We start from the raw sequence: 16,479 nt of genomic DNA on the forward strand, positions 1-16,479 counted from the left end.
GAGGTCTGGCTACTCACAGTTTATAGATGAGAACACTGAGGCAGAGCGATAATTAACTCGACAAGAGAAAACAACCAGCAAATGGCCCTCTTGTCCCAGAGCCCACGTTCTTCACCAGAACACTGCCTAGTTTAAGAAACAGCAGCAATTCTGTTTCTTATAAACTCATGAGCTTCCCAAAGACAGGCTCTCATCCGGTCAGGCATCATGGGTGGATCATCAAGCAAACAGATGCCAACAGACATTCCCTCCCAAGTTATTCCTTTTAATCCTGTCCTTTGTCAGATGCAAAAGGCCTAATTCAATACTGGAATTCCTCTATATCCATTATCAGGTCACCTGGATAGCCTGTCCTAAAAGAATGAAGTCCCTCCTTGCCACAACAATAAGCTTTGTCTTTTTTCCCCCCCATAGGTCAGCTTCCTTCTTTTATATTCTGCTACAATCTGTTGTTGTGGTTAATTACACAAGAGACTAGCATGGGTGTGTCAATCCCTAGTGGAACTGCGTTGAGAATCTGCAAACCAGACCATATATTATGGGGCTTCCAAATTTTCAAGTGCCACAGAATCGCAAGCTTCTGATCACTGCATTAAGGATCTAGACCTGTGGTTCAGATGAGAGATGAGCTTCATAAAGAAGTATGTTGCCAGTGAGACCCCACTAGGTTGAAGATTGCAGGAAGCTGAGATGCTTAAATTATTCTAATTAATGGGCTTATTCCCCACTGGTTATGCACAGCAGATTGAATGGACAGTTGCAGGTGCAAACTGAGAGGTAAACAGACCTTTAAATAAGTAAAGAGCCAGGGAGCACTAGCTGGGGAAGCACAGGTTTCAGAATGAATTATTAAAGCCTGCACTGATCCACAGTCGAGGGTATGACTGATTTCTAAGTGAAGACATCTTATCCTGAATGCTGCTACTTTAAGGTAAAAATAGACTCATTCTTCCCCTGACTCTCTTTCTCCATCATTGGTGCAAAATGAAACAGCTCCGTTGGTTTGTAATTGATGTATCTGACACTAAAATTTCATTCTATGTACTTCCATCCTCTGAAATGCACAGTAAGGGAAGAAGATCATCTTGACAGGTAAAATAGTAGGTTTTGACACAAAGTCATTGAGATATATGTGATGGAGAATTTTCTACTGAGACAAAATGCAGTTCTATTTGAAAGTTTACTACACATTTCAACTTTCACTTTGAAGAAACACTTTCAGATAAATAAATAAATACGCAATGATTAAAAGAGGAAATTGGCTTTGTTTTTTTGAGAACTACCCCGTAGAGTAAAGCATACCTTTTTATATTTACTCTTTTTTATAAAACTATTGATTGAAAAATATGAAAAGGTAGAAGGTGCTTAGAATTCCTAGCACATAATACGTGCTCAATTTATTGATGTGAATTATATTTACACATAAATATACAGACAAACCAGAATATATAAATATAAAGGGATATAATCACTCCAACACCATGAATTCCACCTTAATTTTCCTCTCCTTGACAAACTACTGATTAAATGTAAAAAGTTGCTCTTTAATCTAGATAACACGTTTTGTATGCATTTAAGAAACATTTACTGAGCACCTGCTTTACATCAGCATAGTTCTCAGTACAGATAGAGCAATGAACAAGATACACCAGGTCCTTATTCCAATGGAGCTTAATTCTACCCAGCGTGAGATATGCAGTACCGAGAAGTAAATAAATGAGAAGATATTTTCAGATAATGTTCATGATGTGGCGACAATAAAACAGAATACACCACGAGCGTGTGGAAGAAGAGCTACTTTAGAGGGAATGACCAAGGAAGGCATCTTTGAGGCAGTCACATTCAATGGAGTCCTGAAGAATGAGAGCGCCAACCATTAAAAAAGGTTTTTCTAAAGTGCTGGGGGGAAAGCACGTGTAATAGCCGGAGTTAAATTCACTGCTTTCAACAGAATACCAAATAAAATGATTTACCCACAGAAAGGGTCCCTTTTCTCACTGGATTCCCACAATGCCATTAGGGAGCCAAGCTCCTTATACCTTTTTCTTTGCCCCTCCTGGTGTGTAGCTCACCGGGGGCTGCTCTACTACTGAGCAGTAACTCAGCCTTCCAGTGATGAAGAATGGGGAAGGCTGAAGGGCAGGGTGTGTCTAGCCAGCCTAGTCAGTCCCTTCCTATCCGCAAATAGTACCTTCCCCAGAAGCCCTGCCCATAAGTGTTCACTTACATCTGCTCTAAACTGTCCCACAGATACAGTAAAGCTAAGGAAGTTTCTTGCTTTTAACTGGCATGAATGGGCCTTTTGTAGCCCCGAAAAAAAAAAAAATTGAAACTCTGTTAGCAGGAAGAAAGCAAGAATGGGCACTGGCCTGTGATAAGCCATGTCTGCTGAAGCATCCTAGGCAGGGCCATGGCAAGTGCGAAGTCCCTTGTGGGATAATAGGTCCAGCTTGTAAAACAGAAGACCAGGGTGTAGGAGTGCAGGGAACACGACGGAAGCACAGCCCAGGAAGACTGTGAGTGAAATGGGAGCCACCGGTACTGAGGGCTCGCCAGGTCCTGGAGTGGGGGGAGTACTTTTTTTTTTCTCCACACCACCTCCCAGATGTGGTCTTGCTATGCTGCCCAGGCTGGTCTTCAACTACTAGGCCCAAGAGATCTTCCTGCCTCAGCCTCCTGAGGAGCTGGGATTACAGGAGTGCACCACTTTACCTGGTGATATTACCTTTATTTTACAAATAATGAAGTAAACTCAGTAGGTTAAGTTGACTCAGCTAAATTCACAGATTAGGAATGAGAGGAGACACAATTATAACCCAGCTTGATCTGACTCCTAAATTCATGCCTGTAACCCCTGTACTCTGCTGCTGTCTTCATATCCCTGCTTTAACAATATGCCTCTGAGTATGAGCTGACAGAATCCATTCTTCCAAATCCATTCCGGTTATTACCTACTGTCCTATTCACTCACATTTATAGGAAGTGTTTATTTGTTCTAATATTTTCATTTATTTCAAAGTTCTAGATAGAGAGAACTCTATGTCTTTCTTTGCCTACCTAATATGCATAGAAGAAAAAAATATTAAAACTGAAAATGACTATCTTCATCTGATGCTGAGGTTTGGGGTGAAAATTCATATTAGTGGGAAAGCAGATCTCTATACTGCTCCTTCTCACTCTGAGATACCTGGGGAGGGAGAAAAGACAACACTGAAATGTCAAAGCTCCTGCCAGTTCCTCGGTGCTGAAACATTAATGAGCTTCTGAATGTGCAAAGGTGGGCCCAGAGCCGAAGGATGTTTGAGAGTTAAATTGCTCTGCATAATCAAGGAAAGGTAATTGAGTTTCCCGAGGAATCAGAGAATCAAGAGGTCTAGGAGAAGTGAGAAAGGCAGGGAGCTATGAAGGTGGCTGCTGTCTAACCCCACATGACGTCTCTCATGATTTCCACATTACCAGCAACACTGTTCCCAAATTCCTGACACAGAGCTATAGCAAGCTCTCACATGGGGGACAGCAGTGAGTGAGGATTCTGTGGGTGACTCCTGTGGGTAAGCATTGGGGAAATACTTTCAGATCACATCCAGGATAAACCATTATTTTCAAATCTGGGAAGATTAAATAGAGATGGTGAATGTAAAAGAACCTGTGGGACCTGGCAGAGCAACTCTGATATTCTCCAGAGCAGCAGCAGACAGAAGCTGGGGCTGTTTGCTTACTCCTCTCGCCCTGAACATTACCAACATGCAGGCTGGGACTGTGAGACAACGCCATCAGACAAGCGAGACGATGCCATCAGACAAGACAGGTGTTCCAGCGATTGCTCTAGGTAAGCCTCATTCTCTTTGTTCACTGGCAGCACCACCCCGCTCCACCCTGCGCCTCATTTGCAGAGTCCTCTACAAATGAACATGCAGCCTGCCTGGCACACCTGGCACAGCTCACCTGCATGCCGCCAAGCATGACAGACTGTCTTTGCTGTGGTTGTAAAGGCCTATTTTCCCAAGAGGCTTCTTCTCCGGGGCCCTACAGCTTTCAGCGTGCACTTCAAACTCACTGAGGACTGAGTGACTTACAGTTTTCTCTGTGTGCTAAGCTGTTAGATTGTTTCCATCTTTACACAGGCTGTTCCCTCCATTTCAGGCATCCTCTCTTCCAGGCTGAACCCGTTTTCATCAGATTATCTTTTACCAGTTCTTCAGAAAGCAATTCAGGCCTCGTTTCTCCAGGAAGCCTTCTCTGGCCTCCACCTTTGATTTCGATGGTCTCCTTCATGTTCCCCAGCCCCCGTCTATGCCTCCACCTTGGTATATCATGCTCTATTGTAATTATTAATTTACTTTTCTTTCTCCGCGAATAGATGTACCCACAGAGCCTAGCAGTAAACCTGCAACAAAGTGGTGGTTTGATCATTCTTATCAAATGTATGGCTTAAAAGTATTGTTCTTCTAAAATGTAAAAAGAGAATCAAATACAGGTCTGGCCAATGACAGTATATTTCAAATGACAGGCAGGAACATGTCTTCCCAAGTCCTGATTTTTCTTTGAATGCACAGCTCTGACTTATCTGGCCTCTCTCCAGACCTTCATATGACTCTTCTCTAGTTAAGCCAATAGCAGGCTTCAAGCCAAAAACTCCTAGAAGTAGGAGTTTGCCAGGCAATAGTGCATGTGTGTTGGTTGCAAGAGGGTAAAAAAAATATTACAAAGATAACAGCCTGGGTGCAAGCTTGGAGAGTTTCAGGAACAGAAGAGGACAGCGTGGCAGAGCTGTGGGTTCAGTAAGTGAGGTCAAAGCGTGTGGACGTGTACCTGGCCGGCTAAGCAACAGTAGTTTCTTGGTGAATCTATCAGAGAAGGACTACTATACAACATAAGTCGGTGGGAGCAATGTATCTAAAGTGAGAATGAGTGAAGTAATGCTATCCCGCAATGACCACTAATTGAAATGCCAACAACTCCAAGTTGGCTAAGTGAAAAGAGAGTCTTACCTCAATTACCCTAAAAGAACATTCTAGAACTAGGTTAAGCTAACAGGAATAAGCATATGTGGAGGGTGTTTCTGGGAAAAGAAGTCTGTCAGAGGCAGGCAGAAGTATCAATTGGAATGTGTCTCAGAGACAACCTAAGTTGACACCATATAAATAAATATTTCTGAAGATTGCAGCCAACTGATCTGAACTCTACTGCCACGTAAGGCATATTAATTATTTTTAAACTAATAGAATTGGTGTGCATGTTCTTGAATCATTTAAAATTCTTATCTCCTCAAGAATCTGGAATTTTTGTTTGTGTTACCCCTAAATCCAAATTTCACAATGCTGAGGAGTCCATGGTTTTCAGGCATCATTACAAAATAACCAGCACTTCCTAACAGCTGGTGGCAGCAAAAATCTGAAACTTATATTTCTCAGTTACAATGCCTACTTAAGAATCACCTCAAACCTTTAAGTACAATACAATGTGAGGGTTACTCAGAGGTACAGAGACTAGTGGTATGGTCAGGATTTCAACCGTACCATATAACCTGCATAATGAACAACTCAGACTTACCTCACTTGTTACTAAATATTTGCTTTATGTAAGGGAAAATTATCTTCAGCCAAAATGGTAGAGCACAACCAACTTAATATATATCCTAAGTGGCTTAGAGGCTAAGTACATAATCCCTTCAGCAGTAGCCTCAACTACATTTCTCTTATTGTAGCTAGCTCTTGCACATTTAACCACCTTCATCTGTATTGTTAACTTGAAATTTTAAATGTGCATATTCCCAGAACGCATCAACTAATTTTTATCATTCTTTCATTTGAAAATATCCTTGGAACATTAATGGTTGAAGAGATAAAGGATACCATGTTCCTAAGAGAATTTATTGTGACTCTTACACTCAGTGACTGGTTGTAACTGGGAAACTCAAAACCACAACTATATATGACTATAAAATGACAATGAAAATAGTTTATTCTATACTTGTAGGCTGTTTGACATTTTCCAGCTTGCCTTGATTTTATAAAAAGAAATGACCTTGAAAATAATTAAGCATATCAAAGGGTAAGGCTGTAGCTCACTGAAACACAGCAATATGTTCACGTCTTTATAACACTGCTAAGCATTCATGAAATAGCAAGAGATTGTATTGCTCTTTAACCAAGTTCTACTTTAATTTTATAGGCTTATACATATTCACTACGAGGCCATTCTAATCTTCACCTACCTGCATTCTTCTGAACTTGCAAATAAAGGCAATCAGGACTCTACCTGCTAGACTTGGAACAGATCAGATTTTGCAAGAGGCATCAGGGTCTGGTTGATTCTTTTTTTTTCCAGCCTGTGTTTAATGAGAGTGCTCTCAATAAAAACACAAATTCAGATTAGGTTTCTGTACTCAATGTTTATTAATTTAGATACTCTTTAAAAGAGCATGTAAGCATCTTGAGAAATAAATTTAGCTACTGTCACTTTATAAAAGGAACAAGTGCAATTAAAAAAGAAACAGGAAATCGGCAATGATATGGAAGGAAAGTGCTTCTGAGACCTGGATGCTATCAGCCCCACTGCATACAACTGAGTGTGCTCCCTGCAGTGTTGCAAAGGGCTCAGAGAAATCACAACTGGCCAAATGTTAGAACCTTCCGCAGAGAAATAATGACAGAGGAAAGTCAGAATCTCCAAGAATGGAAGACCTAATGCTCGGAGATCTGCAGACATCTTAATAAAAGGAATATTCAGGAGGGAAGGTGCCATTTTGACTTAGTTCAAGTTCTCTGCTGGGTTTCCTCCTCTACCCCCACCCTAGCAAGAGTCAACTCAGACCACAAAATTTAAATTAAAACACAAAATGTTTAGCTGGTTTCTCCCAACTTGAAAAGGGGTTGACCTGGGATCCCAGGTGAGAGAAAACGAGCTATATAAAAATAAGGCTTCTTGGGAGGCCAAGGCAGGCAGATTGCCTGAGGTCAGGAGTTCCAGACCAGACTGGCCAATATGGTGAAACCCTGTCTCTACTAAAAATACAAAAAAATTAGCTGGGCGTGGTGGCGGGTGCCTGTCCCAGCTACTCAGGAGGCTGAGGCAGGAGAATCACTTGAACCCGGGAGGCGGAGGTTGCAGTGAGCTGCGATCATGCCACTGCACTCCAGCCTGGGCGACAGAGCGAGACTCCGTCTCAAGAAATAAATAAATAAATAGATAAATAAATAAATAAATAAGACTTCTCTCATGAGGTGATGGAATGCCTTAGAGATCTGCTATTTCCAAACCACCAGGACCAGCCCCAGTGAGCCAAATCCTTAATGCTTACATCTTTCCTCTTCCTACAACACATGGACGGGGGCATGTGAGTAACCAAGGAAGCCAGGCCCAAAGAGAAACTTCCTGGTGCCAGGATCATTTTGGGTGAGCCACTTGTTTTTTGCTCATACTGGATACGTGTGCCACGTGCCAGGCACACAGTCCTGAACAAGACTGATAACGTCTCTGCTCTCATGGAGTTTATGTTCTTGTGATGGGTGACAAATGGTAATAATGAAAGATTTTGGGAAGAGTATCAATCATGGAAAACATCTATTTATCAGTCCGTTCATTTACTTAACATAGGCTACTGTTGTGCAACAGGTCCCATGTTGGCTGCTGGAAGTATACAAAGGTAACTAAAACACAAGCTAACTTTGGGAGTCAGCCACACAGAGACGGTGAATGAAGCTACAGGAATCAGTAAGGTAACCCACAGACAGTGTGCAGAGAACAAACAAGGTGGCGAAAGAACCCCACCGACTGGGAAGACAGTAGTGCAGGAAGAAAACTAGGAGAGTATGGTGTCACCGAAGCCCAGGGAAAAGCGTTCCCGAAAGGGAGCGGTCCACAGGACACATGAAGTTAGAGTATCCGGAGGATTGAGCAACATGGAGATTGCTGCTCATCGCAACTACAGCAGTTTCAATTGAGTTAAGGACCTGAACGCCAGACTACAGCGGAGGTGACAAGAAGTAAGAAAGTGAAGACTAAAAATGTAAATAATTTCAGTTGTAATTGTGAAAGGAGAGATGATTCAAAGATAAGTAGAGGAAGAGGTGGAGCAAAGGCATTACTTCTTTTTTTCCCCTCCCTCGCTTTCTTCCTTCCTAAGAGGAAGACAGGCACATTTAAAGGCTAAAAAAGGTGAAAATAATTGAGACTAGATAACTAGTAGAGTGAGGTCCATCAAATAATAAAAGAGTGAGCTCTAGAAAACAGGAAAAGACATCCTTGCCTTTGGGGATTTCGGGACAGAAAGAGGGAGGTTTGCTGATGCTTTCAGGGGTGAGGAGAGGTGAAGGGTTAAAAGTCGTCGAAACAATCTTCCACCTTATAGCCTCAGGCCAGGAAAACTCCCAGGCAAGATTGTGTGCAGCTGAAGAGGCCACCATGTACCAGTCACAGGTTTTTAAGGTGAGCTTAGATGCAAATGGTAAAAGTGAATAAAGGTCGGGGAGTGGAGAAGGTGGCTTGTCTGATTATTAAAGTTACTTACAGATATATATATCTGTTATATAGATATATGAAATTTTTACAATGAGACAATAAAGTAATATTTGGGTAAGAAAAATTCACACATTTTTAAGTAAAAATGTCCACTTCCCACTCTACATTAGGGTGAGAGGAGGCCCTGGCAATGCAGACAATGCTGAATCAATAATTTCAGTAACCTAAGAGGGCTGTCTAGAAGTAAATGGATCTACATGTGCACATCTGAATGGGAGAGATCAGGAATGTAGGTCAACAAGGGTCATCCTCGGTGACCCACACCCCCATTACCTACACCAGACAAACTGCTTTGCTGCACTGTGGACTAGGTTCCCCTCCCTTTTTTAAAAAAAAAAGAAGAAGAAAAGCACTATCTGTTTTCTTGCAACTCCTCAAGGATTTAGTGCAGTGTATGTGTCATGCTTCTGGGCAACTTGGAAAATAACCTGAGAACATCAAAGGTCTATACTGAACGTGAAAAACCCTCTGGGCACAGGCTGCACCAGGCCACACACTGCCACGTTCCCTTCACAGTCCTAAAGAAAAAAAGGTACATGTTTGTATAGGGTTCTTTCAGATTCTCTCACCGGAATCATTTGCTCCAGCATGCATGACTGAAACCTACCCTGATTAGGAGGAGGATAAGATCATGCTGCCTGAGCACACATGTAAGTCTGGTAACACCCTACTCACTGTGTGAAAAAGCATTTTAGCTGTTGGCGTCACCAAAATGTAAGCCCTTTATTTGCTGAGTGTCTGCTAAATCAACATACAGCCTTCATATTTTGTCTGTTCCCCTGTTAATTCTTAAAGGCTGTTGGTTCCTGGAGTCTCGGCTGGAGTCTGGGAACCACGTCAGTCATTGTGCTTGTCCACACATGTAAAGTGCTCAAGATAATGTTTGCCTATCACAGTGTTTGTTTAACTTGCTATTGGCCCAATAACATGCAAATATGTGCTCCATAAAAGCTGCAACTGACTGTAATACCTGAGAGCTAGGGGCCGCGGGATAACTTAGTCATTATTGTTTTTTCTTGAGGTGAAACATAAAATTAACTATTTTAAGAACAATTCAGTAACATTGAGTGCATTCACAATGATAAACGACCACCAACCTATCCAGCTCCAAAACATTTGTATCACTACAGAGGAAAACTCGATACCCACTGAAGGCAGCTGCTCTCGGGTGCCCCTTCCCACAAGCCCTAGCGACCATCAATCTGCACTCCGTCTCTATGGATTCATCTACTTTGAACATTTCATACAAACGGAATCACAGAGCATGTGGCGTCTTGTGTCTGGCTCCCTTCATTAAGCATAATGTATTCCGGGTTCACCCGTGCTGGAGCATGTATGGGTACTTCATTCATTTGATGGCTGAATGATACTCGATTGTATGGATAGATCACAATTGGTGTATTCATTCAACTAACAACGAGCATTTTGGCTGTTGCTACCTTTTCACTATTGTAAATACTAATACTATTTATAATATATGTATGTGAAATTAAGTATCAGTTTTCCATTCTTTTGTGTGTGTATATGGCAGTGGAATTCCTGGGTCATACATCAACTTTTTAAGGAAGTGGATTCCACAGTGGCTACCACACTGTACATTCCTATCAGCAATGTACAGGGTTCCAGTTTCTTCACATCCTTACTATTTTCCATTTTACTGATCACGGCCATCCTACTACATTTCATTCTATTACATTTAATAGTAAATGTGAAGTGGCACCTCATTACGGTTTTTTTTTCTTTTTTTTTTTTTTTGAAGACGGAGTCTCGCTCTGTGGCCCAGGCTGGAGTGCAGTGGCATGATCTCAGCTCACGGCAACCTCTGCCTCCCGGGTTCAAGCGATTCTCCTGCCTCGACCTCCCGAGTAGCTGGGATTATAGGCACACCCCACCAGGCCTGGCTAATTTTTGTATTTTTAGGAGAGACAGGGTTTCTCCACGTTGGCCAGGCTGGTCTCAAACTCCTGACCTCAGGTGATCTTCCCACCTTGGCCTCCCAAAGTGCTGGGATTACAGGCGTGAGCCACCACGCCCAGCCTCATTGTGGTTTTGATTTGCATTTCCTTAATAACTGATGATGAGGAGCATCTTTTCACGTGCTTGTCGGCCATTTGTATATCTTCTTTGGAGAAAGGTCTATTCAACTCCTTTGCTCTTTTATATTTAGGGTTATCTGTCCTTTGGTCATTTTTAAGCAAGGTACTCCAATATTCTTCTCTATGCATACTCCTTTAAACAGACAAAACGCAAAACAGTGCGGTGGTTAGGAAGCTGTGCTATGAAACCAGACTGCTTGGGTCTGTCCTGCAACTTAGTCACTATGAGACCTTGACAAAATTATCTCTCTGAGCCAAAATATCTTAAGAGTAAACCTCGTGGATATGTAGTAAATATTAAATAATCAATGTAATATACATATCATGGCATGTGACACATAGAAAAGCTATAAAATGTTTCAAAAGCCAATAAAAGTATGCACAGGTAGCACGTTCATGTAATTACTTGTGTACTTCCATAAGGATGGGAAAAATGCACGAACCTCTCCCAGATTCAGCCATGTAAGGGTAGAAGGAACTTCAGGGAGGAAGTCACAGGTTTTTTGCCTCCATGTTAAGACAAAAATGGCCCCATAATGAAAAGCACTGTGCAAAATATTAATTTTTAAATATCTTTTTAACAACATAGGAAAGGCATTCTTCTACTTTTGCAAAGGAGGCAGAACCAAAATCTGTGAAGAACCTTTGGCTATACAGACACTCCACAGGGACCAAATCTCCTGCCCCATCACACATTCCTGGGAATTAAAAAGAATGGAGAACGTTTACAAGCTGCTGTACTTTATAATTGTTATTTCTTTGAAATGATTCTTTTTCTTTGTGAGAGGAAAATAAACCACAGTATATTGCTGAGAAGTATTAAGACTCATTCCTTTCTGCCCACACACAAAAATTCGTTGCACCCGGAGGAATCATGTCAAGCAGTCCACCTGCTTGGGTCTAAAAGTCATGTATATTGTTCTGACAAGTCTACCTTGCTGCCAATATGCTTTTGCCGTCTTTAGAAAGGAGTGTTTAGTAAAACAAATGATGCCTATACAGTGTCCATGTACAAAGGCCCCTGTGTTCCAGTTCTATCCCATACTTGAAAAACAAAGGCTCTTTCAGGGTAGGGGGTTCAATATCACCTGCTATGTACTCTGGTCCAATTAAATTTCCCATTTGTAATACACAATTTTATACCTATAATTCTTTCTGTCATTTTACATTGCTTTAATATGAAAAGAAGTCTCTGCTTCACTTGAATTCCTTAGAGAGCCTGGCTTTTCTAAAAGCTTGTGTGTCCGTCCCTACATCCCTCCCACCTACACCAAATTTAAACCTTGACAGACTAATACATTGGATAGCAATCCAGGCAGTCTGCAAAAGACAGATGCCAAGGCCCAGGAGTCACGGGTAAGCTCACGTTTATCTTCCACACTGCAACGAATAGATAGGATGGAAGAGGTAGTCAGAAATTAGTAAGCCAAGATGAAAAACGCCAAAGTTAATTTAACAAATATAGAGAAGGAAAATTGGTCAAAGTCAGTTACAGGGCAAAAGACTTTCTTTCAAAAAAAAAAAAAAAAAAAAAAACCTCTAACAATATATGTGAAAAGGGCAAAGCTTAAAAAGCTGGACTATCTAAGAAACAAAATAATGTTCCTGGAGTAGCAAACAGAAGTCCTGTTTGCTCTTCTTGGGACAAATGCTCTTGCTTGTCCCAGATCACAGGTGAAAAAAGATACTTCCAGGCAGAATAACAATGGATAGCACTGGGAGTCTCAAGTTTGAGTTCCAGCTCTAAAGATACAGCAAGGCCGGGTGCGGTGGCTCGGGCCTGTAATCCCAGCATTCGGCCAAGGCAGGCGGATCACCTTAGGTCAGGAGTTTGAGACCAGCCTGGCCAACACGGTGAAACCCCATGTCTACTAAAACTACAAAAATTAGCAGGGCATTGTGGCACAAGCCTATAACCCCAGCTACCCGAGAAGCTGAGGCAGGAGAATCGCTTGAACCCAGGAGGTGAAGGTTGCAGAGAGCCAAGATTGTGCCACTGCACTCCAGCCTAGGCAACAGAGCAAGACTCTGCCAAAAAAAAAAAAAAGATACAGCAAGAAATCTTCAGTCTAAAATGTACCTATAAACTCATTTTTCACAGATTATGGAAATATTTTTGATTTTCAAGTTTTGATAACAAAACTAGAATGTGTTACAGTTTAATTCTGAGTCTGCATCGTTCTTGGTTTTTGATCATTATAGAAAATACAGAAAACACAGAATAAGGAAAAAAGAGAATGTGACATAGTACAACTTAAGAAAAAATAATTTGGGTGTTATTTCCTCACTATCAAAAACAATAATTAAATAATATATTTTTCATTAACCTAAAATGAAGAATTTAACACAATGATTTTCTCCCCCTCCTAGAAATATGCTCAATTAAAAATATCAGAATAGTGTGATATATATTATGTATGAAATATAATCCAACTAATACTGCAGCATGGTTAGTTTCCATATTACTAAATATGCCTCATGGTTGCATGTAGCTTCCCTTTACATTTATTTATAATTCATTTAACCACTCCCACACTCATTACTTTTTTTTTTTTTTGCTATTAAAAAAAAGTATAATTACTGCTTTCACCAAACAAGGATTGCTATGAATAATTTTTTCTTAATTTTAATTTTTCTTTTTTTATTGGCCTACTTAGGAATTCTACTATGAGTAATTTTTGACTCGATAAATATTTCTAAATTTGCTTGTCTCAAAATATAAATCAATTTACACAAAAACGGTAGTAATACAAGACTGCCTGTCTTAAACTCTCCCTAAGATTTGGGCATTAACATTTCTTGTTCATTTTTGTCAAATGGCATTTCACTATTTACCTTTCATTCTTCCAAATGAACACTAAAAAATTACCTGGAAAACTGCTTTCAAGAAACGTAGTCGAGAAAGACTGACACGTTATAATGCTCAGTCTTATCATCTACAAACATACTATGTCTTTCCAAGTAATCTTCTACATTTCTTAAAGCTCGTAGACTTCTTATTTTCCTGCACTGTTTGTGACCGCTAAATACTGTATTTTGCAAAACCTTTCAGTTTTTTTATATGCAAAATTCATGTTATTTTTCAAACAACCCTCTAATTTTTTTTAAACCAGAAGATTATTTTCTATGGTTTCATAGTCTACAAATTACTACTTTCAGATTATCAATTTCTGAGTATACTTTGTTTCTTTCAGTACATGTTATGGTTCTCTATTCTAGTTTTCTAAGTGGTTTTGATTTCTACTTTGGTCTAATAGAGTTTCTGTGCTCCCACGCATTGGGTGAGGTAGAACCAATGCTGTCTGTGTACAATCAAGAATTGATTTTGGTAAACGTTTCAAAGATAACTGAAAAAAAGGTATATTTCTTTTATAAAAGATATCAAGTTTATCCTATCAATTGTTTTTTATCTTAAATTATTTTTATATGACATTAATATAATCCCTCCTTTCTTTGAATTTCTCTGATTCACCTTTGCATATCCTTTTGCTTTAAATCATAACATTTTAGATCATTCTTTTTCCAGAGGGATGGGGGTAGGGAGTGCCGGTGTCATCACTGGAAAAGAGCTTACACCTGAGAGTACTGGAGTCATGTCTTCTTAACAGAGACACCTGCCAAGAAATTCATTGTTAGGTGATTTTGTCCTTGTGTCAACATCATAGACACACTAACGCAAACCTAGATGAGACAGTCTACTACACACCTGGGCTACATGATATTGCCTATTGCTCCTAGGCTACAAACCTGTACAGTATGTTCTTGTACTGAATACTATAGGCAGTTGTAATACAATGGTAGGTATTTATGTATCTACACTTATCTAAACATAGAAGAGGTACAATAAAAATACAGTATAAGGTTGGGCATGGTGGCTCATGCCTATGATTCCAATGCTTTGGGAGGCCAAGGTGGGGGAATTGCTTGAGGCCGGGAGTTTGAGACCAGACTGGGCAACATAGCAAGACCTCAACTCTAGAAAAACTTAAAAAATTAACCCAGCATGTTGGCAAACATCTGTAATCATAGCTACTCAGCAGGCTGAGGCAAGAGAATTGCTTGAGCCCAGGAGTTCGAGGCTACAGTGAGCCAAGATCACATCACTGCATTCCATCCTGGGTGACAGACTATGACTTTATCTCATGAAGGAAAAGAAAGTTATGAAAGATAAAAATGGTATACCTATGTAGAGCACTGACCATGAATGGAGCTTGCAGGACTACAAGTTGCTCTCCGTGAATGAGCGAGTGGCAGGTGAATGTGAAGGCCTAGAACACTCACTGTACTCTACTGTAGACTATCCACACTGCACGCTTAGGCTACACAGGCCTAGAACACTCACTGTTCTCTACTGTAGACTTTATCAACACCACACACTTAGGCTACACAGGCCTAGAACACTCACTGTTCTCTACTGCAGACTATCCACACTGTACGCTTAGGCTACACAGGCCTAGAACACTCACTGTACTCTACTGTAGACTTTATCAACACTGCACACTTAGGCTACACAGGCCTAGAACACTCACTGTACTGTAGACTTTATCAACACTACACACTTAGGCTACACAGGCCTAGAACACTCACTGTTCTCTACTGCAGACTATCCACACTGTATGCTTAGGCTACACAGGCCTAGAACACTCACTGTTCTCTACTGTAGACTTTATCAACACTGCACACTTAGGCTACACAGGCCTAGAACACTCACTGTACTCTACTGTAGACTTTATCAACACTACACACTTAGGCTACACAGGCCTAGAACACTCACTGTACTCTACTGTAGACTTTATCAACACTACACACTTAGGCTACACAGGCCTAGAACACTCACTGTTCTCTACTGCAGACTATCCACACTGTACGCTTAGGCTACACAGGCCTAGAACACTCACTGTACTCTACTGTAGACTTTATCAACACTGTACACTTAGGCTACACAGGCCTAGAACACTCACTGTACTCTACTGTAGACTTTATCAACACTACACACTTAGGCTACACAGGCCTAGAACACTCACTGTACTGTACTGTAGACTTTATCAACACTACACACTTATGCTACACAGGCCTAGAACACTCACTGTACTCTACTGTAGACTTTATCAACACTGTACGCTTAGGCTACACAGGCCTAGAACACTCACTGTACTCTACTGTAGACTTTATCAACACCGCACACTTAGGCTACACAGGCCTAGAACACTCACTGTACTCTACTGTAGACTTTATCAACACTACACACTTAGGCTACACAGGCCTAGAACACTCACTGTTCTCTACTGCAGACTATCCACACTGTACGCTTAGGCTACACAGGCCTAGAACACTCACTGTACTCTACTGTAGACTTCATCAACACTACACACTTAGGCTACACCGGCCTAGAACACTCACTGTACTCTACTGTAGACTTTATCAACACTACACACTTAGGCTACACAGGCCTAGAACACTCACTGTATTCTACTCTAGACTTTATCAACGCTGTACACTTAGGCTACACTACATTTATTAAAAATCTTTTTCTTTCTTCAGTAATAAATTAAGCTTAGCTTACTGTAACTTTTTACTTTATAAACTTTTTTTAACCTTTTGACTCTTGTAATAATACTTACCTTAAAACACTAACACATTGTTCAGCTGTATGAAAACATTTCCTTTTTTATAACCTTATTCTATAAGCTTTGAACTATTTTTAAATTTTTTTTACTTTTTAAACTTTTTGTTAAAAACGACGACACAAACACACACATTAGTCTATGCCTACACAGGGTCGGGGTCATGAATAGCACTGTCTTCCACCTCCATATCAGATCTCACTGGAAAGTATTCAGGGTCAATAAAGGCATGGAGC

At 40.7% G+C, this 16,479-nt stretch overlaps 1 protein-coding gene across 13 annotated transcripts in view, besides 3 other annotated features; it reads right to left on the reverse strand.

Annotated features, from left to right (window-relative positions):
• The window catches only part of SMYD3 (SET and MYND domain containing 3), a 757,933-nt gene that overhangs the window by 407,903 nt on the left and 333,551 nt on the right, over positions 1-16,479 (reverse strand). Inside the window, exon 1 of one of the 13 annotated variants that reach the window (XM_024449149.2) lies at positions 1-12,131. This exon is cut by the window's left edge and continues 22,075 nt beyond it. The exons of the other annotated variants lie outside the window; for them this stretch is intronic. The gene's annotated coding sequence lies outside the window, so the exon portion shown is untranslated. Of the gene's footprint in view, positions 12,132-16,479 lie in introns of those variants that run through there. 13 annotated transcript variants of the gene reach the window in all.
• Positions 11,966-12,017: a transcriptional cis regulatory region, noted in NCBI's record as "SMYD3 Non-hub Enh region targeted for CRISPR interference". NCBI's record gives its function as "positively regulates SMYD3 gene expression in K562 erythroleukemia cells {active_cell/tissue: K562}" and the evidence as "EXISTENCE:mutant phenotype evidence [ECO:0000015][PMID:29507293]".
• Positions 13,471-13,644: a transcriptional cis regulatory region, noted in NCBI's record as "TAD4.SE2.HS8 sgRNA1-sgRNA3 range targeted for Mosaic-seq CRISPR perturbation". NCBI's record gives its function as "positively regulates SMYD3 gene expression in K562 erythroleukemia cells {active_cell/tissue: K562}" and the evidence as "EXISTENCE:mutant phenotype evidence [ECO:0000015][PMID:28416141]".
• Positions 13,784-13,843: a silencer, noted in NCBI's record as "silent region_2030". NCBI's record gives its function as "represses an Ori minimal core promoter by ATAC-STARR-seq in GM12878 lymphoblastoid cells {active_cell/tissue: GM12878}" and the evidence as "EXISTENCE:reporter gene assay evidence [ECO:0000049][PMID:35858748]".

The sequence above is a fragment of the Homo sapiens genome, chromosome 1, assembly GCF_000001405.40.
Source record: "Homo sapiens chromosome 1, GRCh38.p14 Primary Assembly".
NCBI lineage: Eukaryota > Metazoa > Chordata > Mammalia > Primates > Hominidae > Homo > Homo sapiens.